The sequence below is a fragment of the Homo sapiens genome, chromosome 16 (genome assembly GCF_000001405.40).
Source record: "Homo sapiens chromosome 16, GRCh38.p14 Primary Assembly".
Lineage (NCBI taxonomy): Eukaryota > Metazoa > Chordata > Mammalia > Primates > Hominidae > Homo > Homo sapiens.
This window is the reverse complement of record NC_000016.10, coordinates 9790965-9818335: the sequence shown is the minus strand read 5'-3', so window position 1 is coordinate 9818335 and position 27371 is coordinate 9790965. Positions and strand designations below refer to the sequence as shown.

The window sequence follows — 27371 nt, the reverse complement described above, 5'->3', positions numbered from 1 at the left end:
ATTTTTCTTGGTGGGTGGTATGAGACATGACTTCAACTCCTCAGATGATTATGAAAACCAGAATATGAGAATTACCACCACAGAGCTACACCAAGATCCGATCAACTTTGTGTTGATTGTGTCTTCTCAACGTCCCACCACGAGACTGCGGTCTTTCAGGTGTCCACGTCACCACACTCACAGGCCTTTTCCTTCCTTTTCACATCTCCTGTTTCCTTTTTAAAATTTTCATTATGAAATATATTGCTGTTTAAGGAATAATAATAATACAATGAAATCTTCTTGTACCTACCACCGAGCCTTAAAAAAAAAAAGTCATTCTCGTCCTTTACCACGACCAGCATCTGTAGAAGGTTCCATCCCTCTGGAAGGTTGAAGAAGGTAACCTCATCTGCTCCCGAATTGCTCAGCTTTTGAACATTCCCCCAACACCCTAGAATCCAGCAAGCCTTGACTTAGAACATCCAGAGCATGTGGCTCAGCTGCTGGGTCTCACTGCTCCACCCACACGTTTCAGTAACATCTGCTGCCTAGCAAAGCCACGTGCATGCACACCAGGGTCAGTGAAATTGTGGGTTGTAATTTTCTGGGAGAGTCCTGAACACCAGACAGGCTTTGGATTACTGTCAAGTGACAGTCCCAGCTGGGTTTGAGTCTGGACTCGAGCATTAGCTAGCTGTGTCCTGGGACAAGTCATGTCACCTCTCCAAGTCACTTTCTAGTTTCCCCATCTAAGAAGTGAAATGGTTGAATTCTTTGATCTCTAAACTAGTTCATGAGATTCTTTTATCTGTGTCAAACACTTAGGAAGACTCAGACAAACCACATATGCAAACAACTGTCAGTTTTGCAGAAAGGATTTAGAATCATGCCCCAAAATTGGGTGCCTCCAAGCCTGGCCAATGGACCAACTGTACCTGAATCACATGATTACCTGTCAAAATGCAGATTCCTGGGCCCAGGACAAGGCTTTCTCTCTAGCTATGGAGCCTGTGAATCTTTATTATAATAAGCATCATTCCCCGCAGCACGCCACACCACGTGATTTTGAGACACACGAATATTTGAGAACTACTGTTTTAGAAGTCCAACACACTATTCATTGTGCAACAGAGCTGAGAACTACTATTTTAAAGGAGTTGAAGAAACACATTTTATTGGGATAGGCATATACAGAGTAGACAAGCCAAATGCTTGTCTTTGGAATCCCTAATTTTTTGAAGAAAGGCATAGGCAGAGAAAAACTTGAAAGCTAAGTTTTACTGTTTATTGAAATTCATAATAAATGGAGATAAAGAAATTATCAGACAAATCAGTGAGAAAAAAGGGTTTGATGTGTAAACATCAACAGAGATGGGATTTTTCAGGCACAGATCTGTTGTGCCTTGTGGGACTCCTGTGAACCAAAGGTGGATGAGCGTCAGTGACCCCAGGTTTCTAGGCTAATGCTTCTCAAGCATAGCCTGAGTCTGAATCAGAATAGGTGCTAATAAAAATGTAGATTGCTGAGCCCCACTGAGCCAGTTGAATCAGAATCTCTGTAAGGAGGGGTCTGAAGATCTGCATGGTTTAACAAGCTCTTCAGGTGACTCCGATATGCCCTAATCAAATTTTAAGAACATCCACTCTAGAAGAGGGAGCTGAAGCTGAAATGAGTGGAGACAGATTTAGATTTACAAATGCTCAGTCATCAGAAGCTGATGTCCTCCAAGCCATTTTGGCATGGGGGCAAAACTGCAAGCGTCGCACATATGCCAGATTTAAATTAAACAACGTCCCTAGAACTCCGAAGAGCCTAATATTTCAAGACACAGTGGGATAGTTTGTGTTTTTCTTTTAATTGATTTTCATGTACAAGTCTGGGTGTATACATTTATGGAAAAGTCCCAATTTCCTTAGAAGCCTCAGTTTTCAGCTCTCAGGATCCCCAGTCCCCTGTGCGATTTCATTCTCAGCACAATGTTAAAAAACAGGTCTCTGTTGGTTTCCTTTACATGCAGTAGTTAGAAGAATTGGAAGAGAGGATTGTCTTTTTTCCCAGTATTTTTTATTGTGATAAAATATGCATAGAGTAAAATTTGCCATCTTCACATTTTTAAGTGTATAGTTCAGTGGTATTAAATGCATTCATCGTGTGGTACAACCATTACCACCATCTGTCTCCAAAGCTCTTTATCTTGTAAAACTGCAACTCTCTATCCACTAAACAAAAACTCCTCAACCCCCTTTTCCCTAGCGCCTGGCAACCACCATTCTACTTTTTGTCTTTATGATTTTGACTGCTCTAAGTACCTCATCTAAGTGGAATCATACGGTATTTGTCTTTTTGTGACTAGCTTATTTCACTTACCATAATGTTCATCCATGTTTTGGCATGTGCCAAAATTTTATTCCTTTTTAAGGCTAAACAGTATTTCATCGTATTCAGGTACCACATTTTGCTCATCCATTCATCTTTCAATGGACACTTGAGTTGTCTCAGCATTTTAACTATTTTGAATCATGCTTCTGTGAACGTAGATGTGTGAATATATTTTTGAGACTTTGGTTTTTTTTGTTGGTATATATGCAGAAGTGAAATAATTGGATCATATGTCAATTCTATTTTTAGTTATTGAGAAACAACCATACTGTTTTCCACAGTCCCATTTGCATTCCCACCAACAGTGCACAAGGGTTCCAATTTCTCCACATCCTTGCCAATACTTGTTGTTTTCTGTTTTTCTAATAGTAGCCATCCCACTGGGTATGAGGTGGTATCTCATTGCAGTTTTGATTTGCATTTCCCTAATGATTAGTGGTATCGAGCGCTTTTTACCTGCTTATTGGGCAATTGTATTTATTCTTTTGAGAGGTGGATATGCAAGTCTTTTGGCCATTTTACATTTGGGTTGTTTGGGTTTTCTTTTTTTTTTTTTTTTTGGTTGTTGTTAGGTTTTAAGAGTTCTCTGTATATTCTGGATATCAATCCCTTATCAGATATACAATTTGCAAATATTTTTTCCTATTCCATGGGTTACCTTTTTATATTCTAGCTATTACATTGATAGTGTCTTTTGATGCACATTTAAAAAAAAATTTAGGGAGTATTGTCTTTTTACCAATAAATATTTTTCTAAAAGGCTTGAGTTGTCCTCAGTGACATGTCTGTAAAAACAAAAGAACAGTGTAGTCCCATCTCCGTGTATGTGTTTGAAATGTCTTCATAGAAAGTTTTGCATTGAAAAACAAATGAGCACTGAATTCCTATCCTAGAGCACAGGTTTGCAAAGCCTGTGGGATTTAGGAATGTACCTTTTTTTTTTTTTTTTTTTGAAACGGAGTTTCGCTCTTGTTGCCCGGGCTGGAGTGCAATGGCACAATCTCGGCTCACCACAACCTCTGCCTTCCGGGTTCAAGCGATTCTCCTGCCTCAGCCTTCCCGAGTAGCTGGGATTACAGGTATGCAACACCATGCCCTGTCAATTTTGTATTTTTTAGTAGAGATGGGGTTTCTCCATGTTGGTCAGGCTGGACTCAAATTCCCGACATCAGGTGATCCACCTGCCTTGGCCTCCCAAATTGCTGGGACTACAGGCCTGAGCCACCGCACCCGGCCAAGAAGGTACATTTTTATTAGTGCTTCTAGTGATTCAGATGTAGGTAGTCCATGTCTTTGAGAGGTTAGTTAGTTGACTATTGAGAAATGGAGTTCTGTAGTGACTAAACAGGACAAGGAAGAGGGAGGATATTTCAGAAGGAGGGTGCAGGATGGGTGGAGATGTGGCAAAATGTGAGTTTAGGTTTAGGCATATTAAGTTGGAAGTGCCTTTGGAACACCATCATCATATGTCCAGGCATCTTTGCACTTAATGTGACCTGACAATTAGTGAGCTACAGACCTGAGCACTTCATATGCCTAATCTCAATTAATCCTCACAACACCCCTACGATCTGGGTACCATTAATATCCCTTTTAAGAGATGAAGAATGTGAAGCTCAACAATGTTAACCTAATTACCCAATAGGCTATTCAGCTAAGTAACTACATTGCAGAATTAGTAAGTATAGAAGTTAGGCTTACTTCCCCACTTGGAAATGCCACCTAGGCAGTTGGAAATACGGGGTTATGGTTCAGGGGAGAATTTAAAACTAAAGTTAGATATTACATATGTGCATATATTATAGAGTACATATCATATTAATTGATGATCTGAGAACTGATAAAATCACAGCATTATCATTTCTATGCTCAAAAGAAACTGGTTCAGGGATATTGGCATTCCCAAGGCAAAGGTAAACCAGGAGAGTATAAGGGTTGTCACTGAGGTTCAGTTGCTCTGCAGAGCAAATTTTTTCAAAGATGCCATTTGAGCAGGTTTTATTTGCTGTATTTTATCAGTCAAACAGAATCAGACACAAATGGTTCATTTCCAGCTGCTGAATTCGAAAGCGGGCATAGACATCAGGGTTCAGTGAGCTGTTCTAAATGGGGTAGCGTCATCTCCAGAGAAAATCAGATCAACAATGACCTGGTTTCTGAGATCCACCCCCACACTGCAAACAAAGCTCAAAAATAATTGCTTCCACATCATAGAGTTAGAAAGTTTTTTCCTTAATAAAAACTCAAGTAAACACAGACATCTTTTTTTTTTTTGCGGGGGGGTGGGGTTCTTGGAATTATTTCCTGGTAAGCTCTATTAAAACAACGTTAAAGGATTTTCAAGGCCACCTATAAAAACTTTTTTTAAAGTAGAAAAAAATGTCTGTGGGGGGCAGGAGTTAAATAAAGTGAGATCATAATTCTTTAAACTCAGAGACGGAAAAAAAAAAAAGGCAAAAAAAACAGACTAAAAAGAAATATATCAAAATGTTATCGGAGATGCTGCTAGGTGATTGGGATGATGGACTTTACATCTTTTTACATTTAACAAATTTTCAGCAACACAGTATTACTTGCAATAGCTAGAAAAAAGTTTCTTCTGACTATAATTCTCTATTTTTTCCTGCATTTCATTCTTGTATTGTCAACGCATATATACAATTCATACAAGTTGAGTCGGTGCATATGCAAATTTGTTTTGCTTTTCTCAATTAAAGTAGACAGTTCTGTTGTTTAGTTTCCACATTTAAGGACCAGGTGATAATTTCATTGAGCTAGAGGAATATTAATTAATTTAGCTTTTACTGCTTTGTGTTTTCATCATGCCTTAACTAGCACTGAAGGGTACTACAAGAAATAGTTATTTTTGAAAAGGTTGCTGATACGGTTATTACAGGACAGCTTGTGGAGAATGTCGTCCTGTAGCATCCCTCACACTTCTGTACGATGAAGAGCATTGCTTTGTTCTGTTTGAGGCACGCTTTGATCTTGTTGACAACACAATTCTTATAACAACTTATGGTTTTCTTTTTGCTTGGATTACCGCACAATTCAGAGCTTAATGCATGATTCTTCTTTCACAATTGTGGAGCCTTTGGCCTGAAAATCTGTTTACTGACTTTCCCTAAGACTGAGCTACTATTCCACTTCTGAATTCACTTAACTCCAATTGCTTTATCCGTATGTGTAAACCTTATTCTATTCTATTACAGTGAGTGTGAGCTACCTGAATTGCTTTGGACACAAAGCAATTCTTTGTTTTTTAAATTTTTTTATTGTGTGTTTTTATTTATTTTATTGTTTATTTCTTTTTTCTTTCTTTTTTGTTTTTGTTTTGAGACAGAGTCTCGCTCTGTCACCCAGACTGGAGTGCAGCGGTACTATCTCAGCTCAGTGCAACCTCCATCTCCGAGGTTTGAGTGATTCTCATGCTGCAGCCTCCCAAGTAGTGGGATTACAGGGGTGCACCACCACACCCGGTTAATTTTTGTATTTTTAGCAGAGACGGGGTTTCGCCATGTTGGCCAGGCTGGTCTTGAACTCCTGGCCTCAGGTGATCCTCCCACCTCGGCCTCCCAAAGTGCTGGGATTACAGGCGTGAGTTACCGTGACCGGCTTAAGTGAGGCATTTCTAACTAACAGATTCCATTTATTGGGAGCTTACCTGAGTGCCAGGTACTGTGTTAAATGCTTTGCCTCCATTATCTAATTTAAACATCATGACAAACCTATATGACGGTGACCATCAAGATTTTCATCCACCTTTGAGGAAACAGGCATTGAGAGATTAAGCAGCGTGTCTGGGATCAATCTTACGCCAGAGCCCCTGCTTTGAGTCACAATGTAAAAAAAATAAAAAATATGACTGTTCTCATAATATTCCACAATTAAGGCCGTTTCTAATGGCCCACCATTATGCAAAACCTAGTACCAATTTCGTCATATTTTTACTTCAAAAGTTCTCCTTTTTTCTTTAAAATCTTTACTACTGTTTCAAAAGGGGCAATGTTTCTTCTTCCATTGAGATAAGGAAAATAAATGAATGTGTGGAGCAAGAGCGTGGAGGAAATGAATTTCTTCTATTCGAGCCAAGCCACAGGAAGCACATGGTCAGAAAATTCCTCCTGGGGAAGAACTGTGAAGAAGCAGGAACTCCCTGGCAGGTTCTATATCCTTAGGGATCACCTCTTGTTTGTTTTTGTTTGTTTGTTTTTTGAGACAGAGCCTCACTCTGTCACCAGGGCTAGAGTGCAGTCACGAGATCTTGGCTAACTGCAACCTCCATCTGCAGGGTTCAAGTGATTCTCGTGCCTCAGCATCCCGAGTACTGGGACCACAAATGTGCACCACCATGTCTGGCTAATTTTTGCACTTTTAGTAGAGACAGGGTTTTGCCACGTTGTACCAGGCTGGTCTCAAACTCCTGACCTCAAGTGATCCGCCTGTCTCGGCCTCCCAAAGTGTTGGAATTACAGGCATGAGCCACCACACCTGGCCCACCTCTTGTTATTGCTTGCTGAACTCACATGGGAACTTCAAACATGTGACCTCATTTCCTCCTGATTCAACTCTGCCAGATAATCATTTTCTCCATTTTATAGAGGAGGACACTGAAGTTCAGGCAGAAGCCACAGTTCGTCTGAAGGTTAACATCTAATGAGTAGCAGTGCCAGCATTCAGTTGAAGACCCAACATCTTTTCTGACCCATGATGTTGTGCTAACCCTCTGCTTGTCCTGAGAAGGGAACAGCTCTGGCAAGGGTTGTACCTATCTGTTACAAGGTCGTGGGGTTAGGAGATGCGAAGTTGCTCTCACCCATGAAGCATCACAGGTTTGGAATAGCTCAGCTTCCTTTCTCCCCACAGTAAAATTATAAACACATCTCCACTGACCCAGGTGCTAAAAAGGTCATGGTGTTAATGTATCAGCCCTGTGTGTTCTCTTGCTGCAGGGAGAAGTGAGTTTTCCTGGCACTGGGCTCACTCAGACCATGGAAAGCCTCTAACACAGGTTAGGAGACACTGTTTACACCCCATGGAAAGTGCCCGGGGCCAACCCCAGACAGCTGCCTCTCCCAAAGCAAGCCCCACCTCCTTCCTCCCATAGAGAAATGCAGGTGGAGGAGTGATAGGAACTCAGGTACTGCACCTTCAGGTGTCCCCAGTGAAGTAGTTTCCTAGAGTGGCCATAACCAATAACAAGCATGGTGGGTTGCAACAACAGAATTTTATTCTCAGTTCTGGGGGCCAGAGTCCAAAATCAAGGTGTTAGCAGGGCCTTGCTCCCTCTGAAGGCTCTAAGCGAGGGCCATTCTTTGCGTCCTCCAGTTTCTGGTGCCTCCAGGTGTTTCTTGGCTTGTGGCTGCATCTCTCCAATCTCTGCCTCCATCTCCAGGTGACCTTCTTCCCTTGGTATGTCTCCTCTTCTTCTAAGGACTCCAGCCGTTGGAGTTAGGACCCACCCTAAATCCAGGATGACTTTATCTCAAGATCCTTAAACAATTATATCTGCAAAGACATGATTTTCAAATAAGGGCATACTCTGATGTCCCAGGTGTACATGAATTTGGAGGTATACTCACCTAGGCTGTAGTGTGGTTTTCCCAACATCACCTCCTGATAGGTATCCGACATCAGTGCTGCCAGTGGAGGCTGTCCTCAGGTGTCTTGGGGACCAGGGGAAGAGGCCATGCTGCCCAGTACTTTATCTGGGTGTGCTGTGGGGAGTGGTGGTGTATTCCACAGGAATGCACAGCACACAGGTATGCAAAGTGGATTCTTGCGTGTGAACTCCCACCATCAGGTGGTAATTGTGCTGGCCAATTTCCCATACCTTCCCTATCCCCTGCCTCCTGGTCTCAGTTGTTTAGGTAGCCCTCACTCCATGCCAGGAAGTTTTTCTTTTTGAGACAGAGTCTGGCTCATTCACCCAGGCTGGAGTGCAACGGCGCGATCTCGGCCCACTGCAACCTCTACCTCCTAGGATCAAGTGATTCTCCTGCCTCAGCCTCCAGAGTAGCTGGGATTACAGGTGTGTGCCACCATGCCCAGCTAATTTTTGTACTTTTAGTAGAGATGGGGCTTCACCATCTTGGCCAGACTGGTCTCGAACTCCCGACCTCAGGGGATCCACCCTCCTCAGCCTCCCAAAGTGTTGGGATTACTGGCATGAGCCACCACACCCGGCCCCAGCAGCTTTTATGAGTGTATTACCTGTAACTCTTAGTTTAATCTTCACAGCTTCTCTGGGAGGTTGGCATGCCCAGCATCTCCACTATACAGACAGCTTAAGTCATGACGCAGGCACAGTGCTGGTAAGCTTCAGAGCTGGGATTTGAACTGGCTCTAGGAGCTATGCCCTTAACCATTATGCTATATTGCTTCTCATTAAAAAATGTATCCTCATTGTAAAAAAAAAAAAATGAAAATACAGATAAGCATTCCTTTGGCTTGGCATCTCAATGCCAATCTGTTGTCTGTTTGATGTACGTTCCATTTCTCCAAGACTTTTATTATATGCATTTGCATATGTTTTTGTTTTTCTGAGACAGAGTCTTGCTCTGTTGCCCAGGCTGGAGTGCAGTGGTACGATCTTGGCTCACTGCAACCTCTGCCTCCCAGGTTCAAGTGATTCTCCTGCCTCAGCCACCAGAGTAGCTGGGTTTACAGGCTACTACAGGGGTGCGCCATGACGCCCAGCTGATTTTTGTATTTTTAATAGAGATGGGGTTTCACCATGTTGCCCAGGCTGATCTCAAACTCCTAACCTTCAGTAATCCACCCACTTCGGCCTCCCAAAGTGCTGGGATTACAGGAGTGAGCCACCGTGCCCGGTCTGCATTTGTATATATTAATATATGTCCACACAGAATAAAATTTTATTCTGTGGAATGCTATCAAACTCTATGCAGTATGTCACAGTTTGGTTTTCAGTGAACGATATGTTTTGGAGAGCTTTCCATTTTTTGCCTTCATTCTCTTTGACTGCTGGAAAGAACTCCATGATATGCATGCATCAGAATATTTTTAAGCATTTTCTTCTCACTAGACTTTTTTTGGGGGGGTGGGATGAGGGCTATCAGTCATATGGCTGTGTTAAGGATCGTTGGGGAGTCCTCTGTGTACCTCTACAAGTGGTTTTCTAGGAATGAAACCAGGACATAGAATTTCTGGGTGGAAGTATTTATATTTTCTTGAAGCCTTCAAACTTACGTAGTCAATTTATTTGATTTGCTTATTTTTATATTTTCTGAGTGGCCTCTTGGTGCAGAGAGTGGATTTTGGGGTAAGAAACGCCTACTTTAATATTCTGTCTCTAATACCAGCTGTGTGACCTTTGGCAAATTAAATAACCTCTCTCAGCCTGTTTCCCACATGTGTAAAATCCTATTTCCTGGAATTCCTCTGAGAAATAACCAAGTTGACTTATGGAAAGTACCCTGCATTCTATCTAACACATAATAGCATTTTCACAAATCTCGATGTTTTTCGGAATCTCTCTTTCACTCTCATGTTTTCTGGCCCCTGAGAGTCCCTGTCTTTCAGTCCTCCTGTGTGACAAGTTCCGTGATGTCGTCACTACTAACAGTATGATGGGGTGCTTAAAGGATAAGCATCCTGGATTCGAATTCCCACTCCAGTGACATCCAGTGTTGGGACCTTGGACAAGTTATTAACATCTTAGACTCCAGTATTCCACTTTTATAAAATTATACTAATTGTGCTGCCTTCACTTGGAAATGCACTGTAAAGATTAAATGAGATATTCCGGCAAAGAGTGCAGTGTCCAGCACATAGTAAATGTTCAAGAAAAGTCTGAACAAAGAAAACCTTTTTGAGCCATCTTTCTAATATTATAAAAACGCTATGCTTCGTGAAATCTGCAGCAGAATGGTTAGGTCTGACCTCAACCCTTGAAAAGTACAATCTAAGAAGCTCTATAAAGAGTAGCATTCCAGAAAGAACCAATACTGTTCCTATGTCAGAGCATGAGTTGTGGTGAAGAAAATACAGCATCGCATAGTGCTTTGCAATTCACCAAACAAATTCATGGCTGGGACTTCATTCAACCAGTGCATAAACATAGGAGACAGATTATGTTTTCCTTCCTGTCAGATGGGGAAATCAAGGCTTAGAGAAATATTTAGACTTTCCCAACTTTCCACAAAGTATGCAGAGCCAGTTCTCTGACCCTGCATCCCAGCTGAGGCCTTGCACTGGGGGAGCCCGGCAATGGTGTCCTGAAGGCACACTGCTTTGGTGAGTGACAGACCGGTCTGGAAAAATTGGGCGGAGATCTCTGGGCCTCAGTGTCCTCATCTGAAAAATGAAGAGACTGGATTACATACTGTCTCAACTCCTTGGGTATAGTCAGTTTGGGTCCAACGTTACATTTAACAGAAACAAAGTACTTACAGCTAGATGGACTTGGACAATCATTTCAATCCTTCCCTATCTTTGAAATTAGCAGTCAATAGACAAAGTGGGTACATTCATCTCTTGGGTATTCTTTCTCTTTCTCTCTCTCTCTGTCTCTGTCTCTCTTTCTCTCTGTCTCTCCTTTCTCTCCCTCCCTCCCTCCCTCTCTCCCTCCCCCTCTCCCTCCCCCTCTCCCTCCCTCTCCCCCTCCACCCTTCCTCCCTCTCTCCCCCCACTTTTTCCCCCTCTCCCTCCCCCTCTCCCTCCCTCTCCCCCTCCCCCTCCCCCCTCCCTCCCTCTCTCCCCTCCCTCCCTCTCTCCCCCCACTTTTTCCCCCTCTCCCTCTCCATCTCCCTCTCTCTCTCTGTTAGTTCATTTTCACACTGCTGATAAAGACATACCCGATACTGGATAATTTATAAGGAAAAAGATGTTTAATGGACTCAAAGTTCCATGTGGCTGGGGAGGCCTCACAATCATGGTGGAAGGTGAAAGGCATGTCTTACATGGTGGCAGGCAAGAGAGAATGAGAACCAAGTAAAAGAGGAAAACTCTTCTAAAACAATCATATCTCATGAGACTTATTCACTACCACAAGAACCTTATGGGGGAAACTGGCCCCATGATTCATTTATCCCCCACTGGGTCCCTCCCACAACAGGTGGGAATTATGAGAGCTACAATTCAAGATGAGATTTGGGTGGGCACACAGACAAACCATATCACTGTCCTCACTCCTTCCCCGTTACCTTCTTCTATCCTCTTTTTCTCTCTTTCTTTCCCCCCTTTTTTCTCTTAGTTTCTTGCAATATATCTCACTTTTTATTCTCTCCCTCTCTGTACCTTACTAACATCTCTTTCTCCTTCTCTGTTTCTCTTCCTCACTTTCTCTTTCTCATCGTTTTTCTCTCTTTCTGTCTCCGTCTTCATGTTTTGCTTGGTACCTCCTTCCATCTGGATCTCTTCCTCCTCCCTAGTTCTCTTCCTCTCTTCTATCCTCTCCCCTTCTCTGCTTCTCTCTGCCTCTGTCTTACAAAATCACTCAGGATTTATTATCAGCTAAAAAAATAAATATTAACCATCCATCTTTTTTGCCCAATTCACAGTGAATATTATTGGTAAAAAAAATAAGCCACACAAAATAAACTGACAAGAGCTGAAAGCACACAGGGTGAAATTTGGTATTGACTAAAAATCCATAGATGACTCAAATCTTCTTAGCTAATTTTGGATCTCTGTACAATTTTGACCCAGGAGAAATGGACTTGACTTGGTGGAAATAATAACCACAAAAGAAAACTCAAAATGGCAGAAGTTATAAATTAGTAAAATTTGTTGTGGTCCAAATCCTGATCAATGAAGCAAATATTTATAAAATTTAAACACAAAAGAATTGACCCCAGTAAAAATGTTTCCAAAAAAGTTGGAAACAATTTAACTACGCTATGCAAGACATCGATCGAGGAATTAAATTAGCTTAAGGGAGTTTGCTTTGAAAAATGCTTCCTTTGTGAAAATTCATCAATGTTGGTATAACTCTGACTTTAGAGTTTGTATTCACAAACCCAGAATCAAAATGTGATTCTAGGCCATTTTCCCAAAGCCAGTTTTAGACCATTCTGTGCTGATGGCAGGTAGTCCCTGTATAGGTTGAGTGTCTCTTGCCCAAGTAAACAATTTCAAAGCTTGTCATGCCTCAGTGGTGCCATTTCTGGGGATCATGAATGCCCTTCCCCGATGGGTACCCGGTGGTGATCCACACCTCCACTGCTTCTCTGCATAATGATACCACCACTGCCAGATAATCTCCTAAATCCCACCAGCATCTGCAATTACAAGCAAAACACCTTCACTTCCATTTTAATCCATCCAACAGCCAGCCCTGTAATAAGTTATTATTTATTTCCCATCTTACAGATGAGAATACTGAAGCTCAGAGAGGTCCCATGACCGGGCTTCACTCATGGAGCTGGTGAAGATAAATCTGAATTGTGTTCCCTGTTCCACAGTTGCCCAAACATGCCAACTGACCTCAAGTGCTAATGTGTTCCTCTTCCTGGCAAGGGTTTGGTTTGATCTGAAAAAAATATATTCAGTTATCATCAAAGAGATGTTTTAATTTTCAGTAACACACACACACACTCATGTGCACATGCTGGTTTCATTAATTCATCAAGACAAGCAGTGTCTTGTTAAAGGCTTCTTGAATGTTAATGAATGAATAATTAACTTTAACTATATAATTAGCCTTTAAATGTGCTGAGACCCCCAGAGAGCATCTGCAAACATGCATAAGAAGATGATGAGCTAAAACCGGAAACTTTTGATTAGGAAATGTCAAGCCGCTTGATAATACAAGTTCCCATCCCTAATGTGTCCATGCCTCTACTGTGGGGTATAGTCCTCCCCAGGGTAGGGACAATTAGATTTGCCAGTAAACAGTCTTGGGGCTAGGATTGGACTTTCAAGGCCATTGTGCAGGTATAAGAGAGACCCACTGACTAAAGGAATGGGGTCAGATCTACACACTTGTGAAAGCTGTAGCAGCTCTTGAGAGCTGTCAATAAGGATGGCAGGAAACCACTAGGTTAAAGTAGCATGGGGCACATGTGACATCCGTCCTTACCTTGCTTCTTTGCTAATTTACAGAGAGGAGGTCTTATTTCCCCCTCTTGTTCTGAATTACTGTCATTTCTAATCATTTGTGCTCCTTGAGGACTGCCGGTGATGGAGAAGGTAATGGCACCCGCACAGCCACTAAGATGCCTGGCAGGGGGTGAGCCTGTCATGTAGCCAGCATAGCATGGCATTCTTTTGAGCTCCAGCACTGCTCCAGCCCTCATGGTGTGAAGCCAAGGTGTCTTTGGTCTGTCGCAGACATTGGAGAAGAGGGATCGCTCCTCTCCAACATCTTCTATAGGGAGTGGAGGCAGAAAGGTGGCATGGACCCCAGTGTGTCAGATGGTGTCTCTGTCCTCATCACAGGCAACATCCCACAGTTCTCAGACCTGACCTCTGAACGTCCTCCTGCCCAGTGGGAGAAACACAACCCTGGTACCTGGGTAGGAACTGAGAATGTGGCACAAAGACAAATTCCTCTTCAAAAAAGGAAGAGAACATGCACCAAGCAGAGAAGAGTAAATGGGTTCCCTTAGCTGTGTGTTCTTAACTGGGCTTTCAGTTGGATGCTCTTGGTTCTAAGGAACCAGCCCCTCAGTGGTGTTCCAAGCCAGTGCTGCCCATACCAGGCTGCAGCCTAACACGTCACTCTGAGTCCAGCAGTCGCAGCTCAACCCCTCCAAATGCCATTGGTCCACATCAGACCAATACTCTGACACTGTCTACTATGGAAATTAAGCACTTGAAATATGGCGGGCTTCCGTTTCAGGTGGCCTTTTTTCTCTTTCTTACCCTCCATCTTCAACAAGAAGCTATGGCCACCTATACCTACATGTCTTCCGATGGACTGGAGTAGACTATGTTAGGGGCAAGAGTTTTCTATGGAGGTAACTGCAGCCCCTTAGATGACTCTGTGGCTGTTGGGAACGAGACAGATGAAGTGGAACAACCCACCACGACTATTGAAACTCCGGCCGCTCTGGCCCCATCCTTGCCTCTTCTGTCAAAACATTTGGCTTATTTATAGCTAAAACCCCCCATCTGAATTTTCTAAGTAATAGAGCTGCCTCCATTTACTCTACAAGTCTTATGGATAGCATGGCTTGGTCACAGTGGTTATGTCAGTGGTCTTTGGTGTCAGACTGCATAGGTTCCAATGCCACTTTTGACACGTATGGGCTGGGTGGTAGTGCTGAGTCACTTTACTGCTCAATGCCTCAGTTTCTCCATCTGACAATGGGGATGGCAGTAGTATGCCCATCCCTGCACAAGGAGAAGGACCAAAAAATATAATAATGCATATAAAGTATGCAGAACTGGATTTCTCCTATAGGATCCATAAAATTGGTGAGCCCCTTTGGCATAAAATCTGAATTTGATTGAATGCATTTATGTGTTTCGAGCATTTGTTATGTTCTGAGCATTGCACACATACTTTACTTATATAATAACACTTTATTCCCAGCAGCCCTCTAAGGGCAAATATTGTTGGCTCCATTTTTCTTTCTTGTTTTTTTTTTTGAGATGGAGTTTTGCTCTTGTTGCCCAGGCTGGAGTGCAGCAGTGCAGTGGTGCAATCTCGGCTCACTGCAACTTCTGCCTCCCGGGTTCAATAGATTCGCCTGCCTCAGCCTCCCGAGTAGCTGGAATTATAGGCATGTGCCACCATGCCCAGCTATTTTTTTTGTAATTTTAGTAGAGACGGGGTTTCTCCATGTTGGTCAAGCTGGTCTCAAACTCCCGACCTCAGGTGATCCGCCCACCTCGGCCTCCCAAAGTGCTGGGACTTTAGGCGCTAGCCACTGTGCCCGGCAAGTTGGCTCCATTTTTCATAGGGAAAACTGAGCCTGAGAAATGCAGTTGCTTTGCCCAAAGTCCCTGTTGACAAATCTCAGAGATTTAGGGGATTTTTTTTTCTTTTTAACAACAGGAACAATTATTTTTTCCAATAGAAAACGGATCAAAAGTAGACTTTTTGGGTCAGAGCAAAAAGGGAGACCCAGAGTCCTGCTCCCTAAGCCTTCCCCTTGCTTGCCACAGAACAGCTAGGGCTGTGCCGCAATAGCCCATAGGCACGTGGGACCCCCTACATTACAATCTAAATTAATGAAATTAAATGAAATTTACAACTCATTTGCACTAAACATATTTCAAGTGCTCGATATCCATAGTAGATGGTGTCAGAGCATTTCCAGCATTGCAGAAAGTTCTATTGGACAGTGTTGTCCTAGAGGGTTTTATAATATAAAGTCTGGAAATATCACCAACAAGCCCCAGGCTGCCTTAGGCTTTCTGAACCTTGTCTGCTTATAGACAGAATAGAAAAATAATAACAATAATAATATCTTGCTACTGGACAGTTGTGAGGCCTCAGTGGGATGATGTCTGTGAAATGCTAAGTATTATTTTATAAAACATCTTGCAGACAATGGCCATCTCTTTTTTTAAAGTGATTATTAGTGATTCCATTTGTTATTATTTATTTTAATTCATAGTTTGTTCCTGCATCAGTTTGCTCAGGATAATGGTGTGCACCTCCATTCATGTCTCTGCAAAGGACATGATGTTGTTCTTTGTCATGGCTGCATAGTATTCCATGGTGTATATGTACCATATTTTCTTTATCTAGTCTGTCACTGGTGGGTTTGATTGAGGTTGATGCCATGTCTTTGCTATTGTGAATAGTGCTGCAGTGAACATATGTGTGCCTGTGTGTTTATAATAGAATGATTTACATTCCTTTGGGTGTATACCCAGTATAGGTCTTTGAGGAATCGCCACACTGCTTTCCACAATGGTTGCACTAATCTACACTCCCACCATCAGTGTATAATCTTTTCTTTTTCTTCACAACCTTGCCAGCATCTGTTATTTTTTGACTTTTTAATAATAGCCCTTTCTGACTGGTGTGAGATGGTATCTCAGACAATGACCATCTCTCTGGGAGGGGACTGTGTATGCCCCAGGATATTTTTAAACACGCAGTTGTCTGTAGCCCATTGTGTGTAGGCCCCAGCTCTCTAGAATCTAGAAACCAGTTCATGTGGCCCTACAGTTTCCTTTCTGTGTTGTAATCACTTCAGTTCTGACATGGCCCTAAGATGACAGTCAGGCCATGGAGGGCTGGCCCAATTGTGTGCCTCCATGGCCAGACCCCTCTGACAGCATGACCACCAGCCCACCCCAGTCATGCCAATGTGTAACTGCTTTGGTCAGAGTCAACCACATCTTTTGCAGCTGTCCTGCCTCTGACTTTTCAGCATTGTGCTTTTATAAACTTTGTTCCCAAAGAAAACTTCCTTTATTCCTTGTACTCATATGTCTGTCTGTTGCTCAGCTCAAAAAGACCTGTCATGAAATATGGTACTGATTTGAAGATGTCTATGCCTGTCCATAAAATACCAACTTAAACTGCTTCTGGACAACTCTTATGTGGTTGCTAGGTACGTGTGTAGATTTCCAGCCTAGCAGCACCTCAGTGCACAGTGGCTTAGCAGGATAGGAGAAGGTTTCACCCCATGAATTCCAACAGAGGGCCCTAATGTTTGAATGTGCCCATGTGTACATGTGTGTGTGTATATGTTTATTTTTTGAGGAATGGAGAGACGAGAGTTGGGTGGTACTTAGAAAGTCTAAATAAAACCAAGTTTCTATATCTCCATGGCAACATGGATACGGGAAGTATTGACGTTGCAAGTATCTCAGCTTTATCAAGAGACCAACACCTTCCACGGCCCTAAGTCCTTAGGATACATGTGTTATCCAGAGTTTCAATTTCCCTATGGATAGCCACAGAATGTGACTGTTGGCTCACACAATCTTAGAATACCACAGCTGAACAAGTGTCTCAGCAAGACCACAATGAACGCCACCTCTCACAGAGGAGAAACCAGAAATCCAAAAGGAGAAAGTGACTTTCCTGAGGTTGCACCATCATCCTAGCCTAGACTAGAACTCAGGTTCCTTTCACCTACTACTCCAGTGTTCCTGTTACACACCCTACTCCCATTATACACAAGTTACTTTTGACCTTGTATAACTCTCCATCCCATATTTCTGCAGGTCTCACTATTGCTGGCTGTTCCTCTTGACTTGCTGTCATCAAGCCAAGCTCTAGGTTGCTCCAGGTTACGTATGACAGCTCTAGGTTACCATCGCTGTTGCCAATCAGTGCCCAGTTCTCTTCTGCTGCTGCTTGATCTGATTCCCTTTAATACTCTCAGAGCCTAAAACCAAGTCTCTGATACCCCTACCTTGAGATCAAAGCTTCAGAGTGTTTCTGTGGATGAGACAAGTCCTACAGTTTTGCGCCACCTCAAACCATTATAGAAACAAAAAAAAATTAAAATGAAGAACACGGCTGTAAACCTGCCAAATAGTTTTGTTCCCATAGGGAGTCCTTCGGCAGCTGTCTCTGAAAAGATGCAGTGTTTCACATCCTCTCTTTGCCATTTTTATTTTTATTTTTTTGCTTCACTGTTTTATGTTTTCTTGTTAAAGAAAGGCAATAAAGTTGAGAAAGTGTCATGAAGTTGAGTCATCTCCGATTTAGTTTTCTTACCCATTTTAGAGTTGAGACATTCATCCCTGCATTCCACAGTGATCATTTCAGCCTCGTTAAATAACTTTAACATTTGGAAACAATATCCAGGACTACTGACAGGGATCTAATCATAATTAGCACCTGTAATCCCAGCACTTTGGGAAGCCGAGGTGGGTGGATCACTTGAGGCCAGGAGTTCAAGACCAGCCTGACCAACCTGGTGAAACCCTGTCTCTACTAAAAATATAAAAATTAGCCGGGAGTGGTGGCAGGCACCTGTAATCCCAGCTATTTGGGAGGCTGAGGCACAAGAATCACTTGAACCCAGGAGGTGGAGGTTGCAGTGAGCTGAGATCGCACCATTGCACTCCAGCCTGGGCAATGGAGTGAGACTCCATCTGAATAATAATAATAATAATAATAATAATATTTAGGCACAGTTGTGCCCTTGGAGAGATTACCTGATGCTTATTTTCTGGGGTATGCATAGGATTTCTAAGGAAATGATAACATTCCACATTTTGAACTGCATGGTGATTTCAAGGATATATACATATGTAAAAATTCATCAAGCATTTTATTACACATACGTTATACCTCAATAAAAATAAGTGTATCAAAAAAGAATTTAAAAGTGCTATGTGTATTCACATGGAAATATATTCACTAGGTATGGAATGAGAGAAGAAAGCAATATGTGAAATAGTTTGTGTGGCATAATAACATTTTCGGGATTAAAACAAGGGTTGGCAAACTACAGCCCGTGGACCCATCTGTTTTCCTAAATAACATTTTATCGGAACACAGCAAAGTTCGTTTGTTTACACATTCTCTATGGCTGCTTTGGCACTATGTCTTGGTTTCCTAGGGCAGCCATAACAAAGGAATGCAACCTGAGCAGCTTAAAGAACAGAAATGACTGTCTCGCAGCTCTGGAGGCTAGATGTCCAAGATCAGGGCATCTGCAGGACCACGCTTCCACCGAAGGCTCCAGGGAGGGATCTGTTCCAGGCCTCTCTCCTGACTTCTGGTAGTTCCTTGGCTTGCAGCAGCATAACTCCAGTCTTCATATGGCGTTCTCCCTGTGTGCATGTCTGTGTTCAGATTTCTCCTTTTAATAAGGACGGCAGCCACAGTGGATTAGGGGTTCACCCTACTTCTGTATGAATGTTAGGGGTGGACACAGTGCAGCCCCATAACACCCTACAACAGCAGAGTTTAATAGCTGCAACAGAGACGGTATGTCCTACAAAGCCTCAACTATTTATTATCTTGTCTTTATAGAAGAAAGTTTGCCAATCTCTGTGTATGCGTGTTTGTGCATACTCACTAAAACATTTGGAAGGCTGTTCACTAACATGTTAACAAAGGTTGAATCTGAGTTATAGAATTATAGGTAGCTTTAATTTTAATTGTATTTTTAATACTTTTCTATATTATTTGGATTTTTAAAAATTCTGCAATAATTTCTGTATGATAAATAAGCAGCACATGTATTTCTTTTGGGAGGAAAAAATATTCCTATTTAGTTCCTTTCCCCTTCATACACACTACCACCAAATTCTTCTGCCCCTTAGTGGTTTATTTTGTTCTGATGCAAACCTTTCTAAATAGGGCACTGTCCTCCACCACTGGGAGTGTTAAGGACAAACACTTAGCAAACCAGCAAACTCAACTGTTTACTCACTTGGGTATATGGATCCTTCATGTCTTTATTTAGCTGCCTCTTGTAAGTTGGAGAGAAAAGGTTCTGGCTTTTATCTCCTCATTAAAAATAGATCCTTTTATGATGAGGGGATGGAGAGGCCATGAGTCATCATCACCAGCATGAAAGAAAGTGTGGGATGCTTTCAGGATCAGGCCTCAGGAGCTGGACCCCGAGGTGGTACCTGGCCACCCCTATGACCCCCTGGTTTCTTGTCATTTCAGGAAGCTGGACGCTTTCATCTACGATGCCGCAGTCTTGAATTACAAGGCTGGGAGGGATGAAGGCTGCAAGCTGGTGACCATCGGGAGTGGGTACATCTTTGCCACCACCGGTTATGGAATTGCCCTTCAGAAAGGCTCTCCTTGGAAGAGGCAGATCGACCTGGCCTTGCTTCAGTTTGTGGGTGATGGTAAGACCCCGGGTGACCCCTTTCTTTAGGGGGACTTGAGACCCTCACACTCGCTTTGTTTGCTCCTGGGCTTCCCAGTGGATCTTTGCATGATGAGTTTGCTCCCTAAAAATATTTACTGAGTTCCTGTCACATGAAACCATGGTTCTTTAGGTTGCTTATAATGGAAAGCAATTCTAGATAACTAAATTTAACAAACAAAAGTATTCTAAGGATACAGTCTCTCTCAGGGGATTTAGGAAAGAGTTAAATAGGTTTAGAAAAAGACAAGAGCCAGGACAGTCCTGGTGCCTTAAGTGGGAATTTATAGGTCTTCTGTCTAGGGCAGTGGTTCTCAAAGGGTGAAGGGCAATTTTGTCCCTCAGGTGACATTTGGCAATGCCTGGAGACACATTCAGTGATCACGGCTGGGAATCTGCTTGCTGATCTAATGGGTAGAGGCCAGGGCCAGAAGATGCAGGAAAACACCTTACAGGGTCCAGGACAGCCCCCTACATCACAAAACACAAAATTATCCAACCTCACATGTTGGTAGGCTGTGGTTGAGAAACGCTGCTGTACAAAATTACATAACTAGGCTGTAATCAGTCCCAATTTCACTCCAGAGAAAGGATTTCTGATGCATTTTGAGGTCAAAGACTCTTTCCTAGACTTATCAGGCATGACTCACGGTGGAGTCATGTTGTACCAACATGGCAACTCATGTTCTTATCCCGTGGAGGAATGAAGGAAAGGCAATCTCTATTGCAGTCTAATGAGACTGTGGCATTTATAGAACTGTAAAGCCGCTTGGGCCAGCTGTGTCACCAGAAGCATTTCCTCCTGTCTGCCCTTTCTACTTCATAGCTGGTGATCTCACTATAGCCCGGGGTTTCCTGGCATGGCCTCTAGAGGCTGGCCGTGGCTTGGAATGGCAGGTTGGTTTCCTTTCAATTGCCAACACGGAGGAAATAGGAAAAGCAAAGTCAGCTCAGATAGCAGGTTAACACCAAAAATGAGCTCGGTATGAGGAGGATAGAAAGGCTCAAGCCAGAGGGCAGAAGCCCCGTTCAAATAGTGGAGGCTATATTCAGAGATGATTACAGAACGTGTTATGCCAGGCTACAGGTGGGAGAGAAAAATCTAGTTACCACTACAGTGAAATGCAATATCAAAATAGGCAGAGGTTAGCTAGTGCATAGGGTTAGTGTGAATTCGAATGAAGTGCACAATTACTTGTGGCTTCTTATCTTCTTTCTATTCACAGAGTTAAATCCTAGATTCTCACAGTGCCATCAGGCATTCTAAATGTGTTTTATATTTAACTCCCAAATGAGAACATGTGAGTCTTTGAATTCTCCATAGGGCATTTGTACCTTCCTCAGATCACTGGCCATGTTCTCTGCTGTGTAATAATGATTTGTGGCTGTGTTGGTCAGCTTTTTGCTGTGAGATCTTAGAGGCGTACAACAGTAAGCATTTATTTTCCTCATGGTAGTGCAGGTTGAGTGGAGAAGCTCTGCCTGGGGTGGGGATAGTGCCTCTGCTTCCTGCCACAAGCGTACGAATCAGTGGTGTGGTCTCTGCTCCACACGTGTTTCTGCTGTGTCTCGGGCTGAAAAGGTAGCAGCTACCTGGGGAAGCTCTTTTCCTGGCCATGGCAGAAGCACAGAAAGGAACGCCTAGCTGCACATGCACATTTCAAGCCACTGCTTGGTCACGTTCACGTCTGCTAACATCCTTCTGTCCAAAGCAGGTCAGGTGGCCAAGTTCAGGGTCAAGGGATTGCAGGTATACTCTGCCTTTCATGAGATAGGTCTTGAAGTTTTATGGCAATAGTGTGGACACTGAGAGTATGCTGAAGAATTGGGGCCAAATGTTTTGCCTATCACAGGGGTGGATAATCACCCTTACAGGGGATGAACTATTCAGCAAACAGGAGTCTTATTTCCAGCATTACAACAAAACACTGAACATCACAGGTAAATTGGTCAATAAAGGTTTGAATGAATAAATACATGTATGGATGAATGATTGATTGATGTTAAGATGTATTTCATTTGGCTGGAAACTTTTAAATGTGATAGGTATCTGTCAAATAAGTGAGTTCTAACTCTAGCCCCACCCACCATTGGTGTCACTCTCGAAGCATCTATTATAAAACAGCTAACATATTTAGGGACTTGGGTATGTCAATCATCATACTGGATGCATTACATACGTTCCTCAATGTAATCTTCGTAACCTTATGAGGTTAAATGTTGCTTATTCCCACTTTACAGAGGAGGAAATTGAATCTCAGAGGGCAAATCCCCTAGCTAGTAAGTGGCAAAGCTTCTACTTCAGGGACCTTACTCTGGAAGGGGGCCAATTAGGGAAGACTGTTGTTATATTTAATTCTCTAAGTTATCTATCAAAGATGACTAAACTCTTGAGATGTATAAATCCTTTAGGAAGGAGTAATTTAGTGCACATCTGAACTAAATCTACTGTCCCATTTACAAATACTTCTATGAAAGAAGTGATCTTTTTTAGCCTCGGTTTATTCATCTGTGAAAGGGTACAGAAATAATTACCTAATAAGGCTGGTGTGAAGATGAAATGGGAGAATACATGTAAAGTGCATAGCTTAGCTTAGCATAGACCCTGTAACATACAAGTGGTTCAATAAATGTTAGCCATCACCATTGTAGTTACAGAAAAGGGGTCCCAATGCAGACCTCAAGAGAGGGTTCTTGGATCTCATGCAAGAAAGAATTCAGGGCAAGTCCATGGAGTAAAGTCAAAGCAAGTTTATTAAGAAAGTTAAGGAATAAAAGAATGGCTACTCCATAGACAGAGCAGACCCAAGGCTGGGTTATTTCTTGATGATATGCTAAACACGGGGTGGATTATTCATGCCTCCCTTTTTTAGACCATATAGGGTAACTTCCTGATGTTGCCATGGCATTTGTAAACTGTCATGGCGCTGGTGGGAGTGTAGCAGTGGGGACGACCAGAGATCCCTCTCATGGCCATCTTGGTTTTGTTGGGTTTTGGCCAGCTTCTTTACTGCAACCTGTTTTGTCTCTCAGCATGGTCTTTATGATCTATATCTTTTGCCCACCTCCTATCTCATCTTGTGACTTAGAATGCCTTAAGCCATTTACGAATGCAGCCCAGTAGGTCTCAGCCTCATTTTACCCAGCTACTATTTAAGATGGAGTGTTCTGGTTCACACGCCTCTGATATCATTATTATCATTATCATCACCACCACCATCACCGTCATCATCATCATCATCATGACCATTGCCATCATCCTCATTACCACGATCATCACCACCATCATCATGGCCATCACCACCACCCTCCTCCTCCTCTTCATCCTTCTCCTTCTCATCATCACCATAGTTGCCCGTGCACAACTCTAGTATCAAACACAACTTCTTTAGTGTTGCACTGGCAATAATGTAGTCAAGTTAGTAACACAGAAACAACTTTTGTGGTGCTAAACAGAAAAGGTCTTCTTTGCACCAAATAAAAAATAAACAGTAAAAGCATCCAGATGGGCCAGGGGTTTGTTCATGTACTTACAGAACATCTAGGTTCTCATCGATATTTTCTGTTCTGGCTCATTGCCTTCCTGGTCAGACTTGGGTTTGGGAAATGTCTCTATTCAGCTTCATCTCTTGAGGCCATCGGGAGGCATAAGACTTGGGAGAGAAAATGCCATTGGTCCAGGGGGTGTCTCCAGATGATCTTCCCGGAAAGCCATGACCAATTCTGAATGTCTCTCTAGGAGTAAATACATGAATTAACACAGCTGCATAAATATTTCACTTATCGTATGCAGCTTCAGCAGGATTAATTATGCTCTAAAATTAGACGTGTAAAGAGCACAGTGCTGAGCAGTACCTAATTATTCATCCTCTAGAATGGAGTGTTTATCTCTTGTTACACAGTAGCTTCAGTGGACGATTATGAGTCTAATGAGTGTCAAAAGTATAAAAAATTTTCCTAATGAGCTGTGTAAATATAACCTTTGAATGGAGTGTTTGGTTATTGAGGGAACCTCTTACATGAAGCCTGCCATGCATTTCCCTAGGAAAAAGGCTGTTCATCTGCCTGGAAGCATACACAAGATCCTAGCAAGATGTTGCCTTCCTTTTCCATCTAATTGTCTGTGGTCTTTCTAAAATGATAGAGTGCACCATGGCATCTTTGGCTCTCAGTACTGGAGTAACAATGCTCATGCATATGTTTCAGCATTGCTCAGCATCGATACCCAACATTTACTGAGAAACAGATGTTTTCGTAGGCACTGATATTCCCAGAAGGGGTTATCATGGTCTTTTTCTTCTTACCCTCAATGAACTTACAGTCCAGTAGGCTGACAAATGTATAAATGCAAAATATCTAATCCTAAAATCGAAACGTTTCTAGTAATTCACATATATAAATTTATATCACACGTGTATATATACACATATGTAGACATACATATACACATGTGTTATGTATGTGGTATATATTCTTATGTATGTGTATATATATACATACATATATATTCTTAGGTGTGTTGGGTAGATAAGAGAATGGTCAAGGAGAAATACGAGACATAACTAGTATCTTTAAGAATAAAGGACAGAATGATTCATAAAGAAAACACGTGTGGCAAGATTTAGACAAAGAATAGAATGGGCCAGGGTTCACAGAAGACTCAGCCATTTATTCATCCAGCAACCAGCAACTCTTTATTGAGTACCTCGATTCTGCTTGGTCCCTAAAAGGTAACACTTGAGTGAGAACCTGAAGACTGGGTAAGCCTTGGACTTAAAGAATGGCATTTCTGGCTTTGAAGTAAAGGTGAACAGGGGATCCCATAAGTCCCATCTATCTCATGCATTTTGTGATTTTCAAAAAAATGATTGTGGGGTTTGAAGAAGCAGAAGAAAGACCATAAAGGTCAAACCCTTCTCATATCTGGGGGCCAGAACAAAAGATACTGAGAAGAACAAGAATGCCTAATTTTATTATTCAGTCACAAGTGATGCTGAGAAAAGGGAAGGAAAAAATTGTTTTAGGTCCTCTCATCTATGGTTCAGCACTATGCCAAGCACATCACATATAATATCCTAGTAAGCCTTTATATAATATTCTGGAGTAAATCTTATTATCTCCCTTGCACAAAGCAGGAAAATGAGGCTCCAATGAGTAAAGTGAACTGCAGCAGAGCTCATTCAGCTTTACCATGAGCAAGAATCACGTGAGGATCTTCCTAAAACAAAGACTGTTTCAGTGGGTCTAGGGTGGAGCCTGAGACCCAGCATTTCTAACAAGCTGCCAGGTGATGCTGAGGCTACCAGCCAATGGACAACACCCTGTTCAGACTTTTATAGAGGTAACAATTGGCTCTAGTTCATCTGAGTCCAATTCTGATCATTTCCTACTAAACCAAGCTGCAAGGAGAAACCTGGTTTGCAGGCGGCCAGGTCAGCTTAGCTATAAGTAATACTTTTTAGTATTGAGAAGCGTTTAATCTTCTTCTTTGTATTTTGCTCAGTTTTAATGGTTGTGGATTTATTTTTAAACTCCAATAGACATTACTCATCCCTGACATCTAGTCTGAGGTCATTTAACACATAAAATTAAATGTATATATTTATCATGTATGTTAAAAATTATGTATATGGCATATTCAATTGCACCTATATCATATTTAGGTATATATAATAGATATGTGAAGTATTTGAAAGATATGGTACACATATCTCTCGCATTGATATTATATTAGGCTAGGTGCAGTGGCTCATGCCTGTAATCTTAACTACTCAGGAGCCTGAGGTGGGAGGTTTGCTTGAATCCAGGAGGTCAAGATCAGCCCAGGCAACATAGCAAAAACCCATCTCTACAAAAAAATTTTTTAAATTACTGGGCATGGTGGTACATGCTTGTAGGCCCACCTACTCAGGAGGCTGAGGCAGGAGGATTGCTTGAGCTCAGGAGTTTGAGGCTGCAGTGAGCCATGATCATGTCACTGCACTGCAGCCTGGGTGGCAGAGTGAGACCTTGTCTCCAAAAAATAATTACATTAATAGAGTGACCAACTCAACCAATGTTGCCTGGACTGTCCAAGTTTTAAAACTAGTGAGTGACCCCAGTTATATCATATTTGTACATATAATCATATGTTAAATATTTGAAAGATACACACACACACACACACACACACACACAATTTTACTTCATCAGGTTCCCTCTGTTCCTTTTGTACTGCAACTTTTGCCAGCAATAATTTTAAAGACTCATCTAGATTGTTAACAGATTGGAGAGGACCACAAACCCTGCTCTCATGTTAATAAGGAAACTTCCTGCAATGGACTCTAGAGTTTTAATAGCACCATTCAGCATAATGATGCTCACAGATCTTGGAGTGGGGGAGCCTTGGAAGTCAATGGAGAACTCACTTTCTCCCTCTGAGTGGGTCAGTGTTGGCATCCTGAGTCCTTTTTTTGTTGGCCTTGTATCTTCCACTGAAGCATACAAGATAGCTTTTGACGGCAGGGGACCCCGTGCTGGCAGGCAGAATAGAAAGTGTTTGTGTGGTCACAGAAGTCCTTGTATCTAATTAGAATTCTCATAAATTGCTCTGGGCCGCTGGATGGGTTGCTAATATCCTCAACACTGCCCTTGATCAACTTCCCAGCTTAATATCTTTGGGCTGACATCCGAGTCTGGGGTAGAGCTGGACAGTCCCACAGCTCAGGCAGTGATGACCACACATGTGTCCATTCTGAGGACGGCGTATCCCTGAGAGGCCTTCACAGCCAGTCTTCTTAGGGCTGGCTTAGGAATGGTATGACAGTGTGGACTGGGGAAATCCTTGAATGCCCCTTACCCCTGAATATTTTTCCCTTTCAACTTTCTACAGCATCCAGAATTTCACCATTTGAAATTTTTTTTTTAGATAAGTGTGGATTGCTGCATGCAACACCCTATAAAAATGGAATTCCTCCTTCCCTCTTTTCCTAACCCCATTTCCTGATATGACATCTCATCCATCCTTCAGCCTCTGCGCTCCTCTGTGAATACTCCCATAAAGACCTCTAAGCTAGATACCCTGCCTGTGAACTCCCTTATCTCTACACTTGTGGCATTTAGCAAAGCAAGAGAAGTGAAATAAGTAAGATGAAGGTTCTGCAGTTTCCTAGTGGTGTGACCTGGGGCAAATTAATTTCTTAGAGTCTCATTTTTCTCATTTTAAAATCAGAATTCTTTAAGGATTAAATATGAAAATAAACATAAAGAAGCTAGTCCATGCCTGGCACACATTAGATGCCATTGTTGGCCTC

The 27371-nt window shown here is 42.3% G+C and overlaps 1 protein-coding gene and 1 long non-coding RNA gene across 9 annotated transcripts in view; one reads left to right on the top strand and one right to left on the bottom strand.

Annotated features, from left to right (window-relative positions):
• The window catches only part of GRIN2A (glutamate ionotropic receptor NMDA type subunit 2A), a 429505-nt gene that overhangs the window by 364573 nt on the left and 37561 nt on the right, over positions 1-27371 (top strand). For all 7 annotated transcript variants that reach the window (NM_001134408.2, XM_047433994.1, XM_017023173.2 and 4 more), the window contains one exon: positions 19872-20059. In NM_001134408.2, coding sequence (NP_001127880.1) covers positions 19872-20059 — 188 coding nt within the window. The remainder of the gene's footprint in view (positions 1-19871; positions 20060-27371) is intronic.
• On the bottom strand, positions 7571-27361 carry LOC105371077 (uncharacterized). Of its 2 annotated transcripts, XR_933063.4 has the most exons (4): positions 26487-27361; positions 23614-23814; positions 12812-12857; positions 7571-10681 (listed from the first exon to the last, which is right to left on the bottom strand). It is a non-coding gene; the product is annotated as an uncharacterized LOC105371077 (long non-coding RNA). The 2 variants fall into 2 exon arrangements; XR_933062.4 differs by lacking the exon at positions 7571-10681 and having other exon boundaries at positions 11644-12857.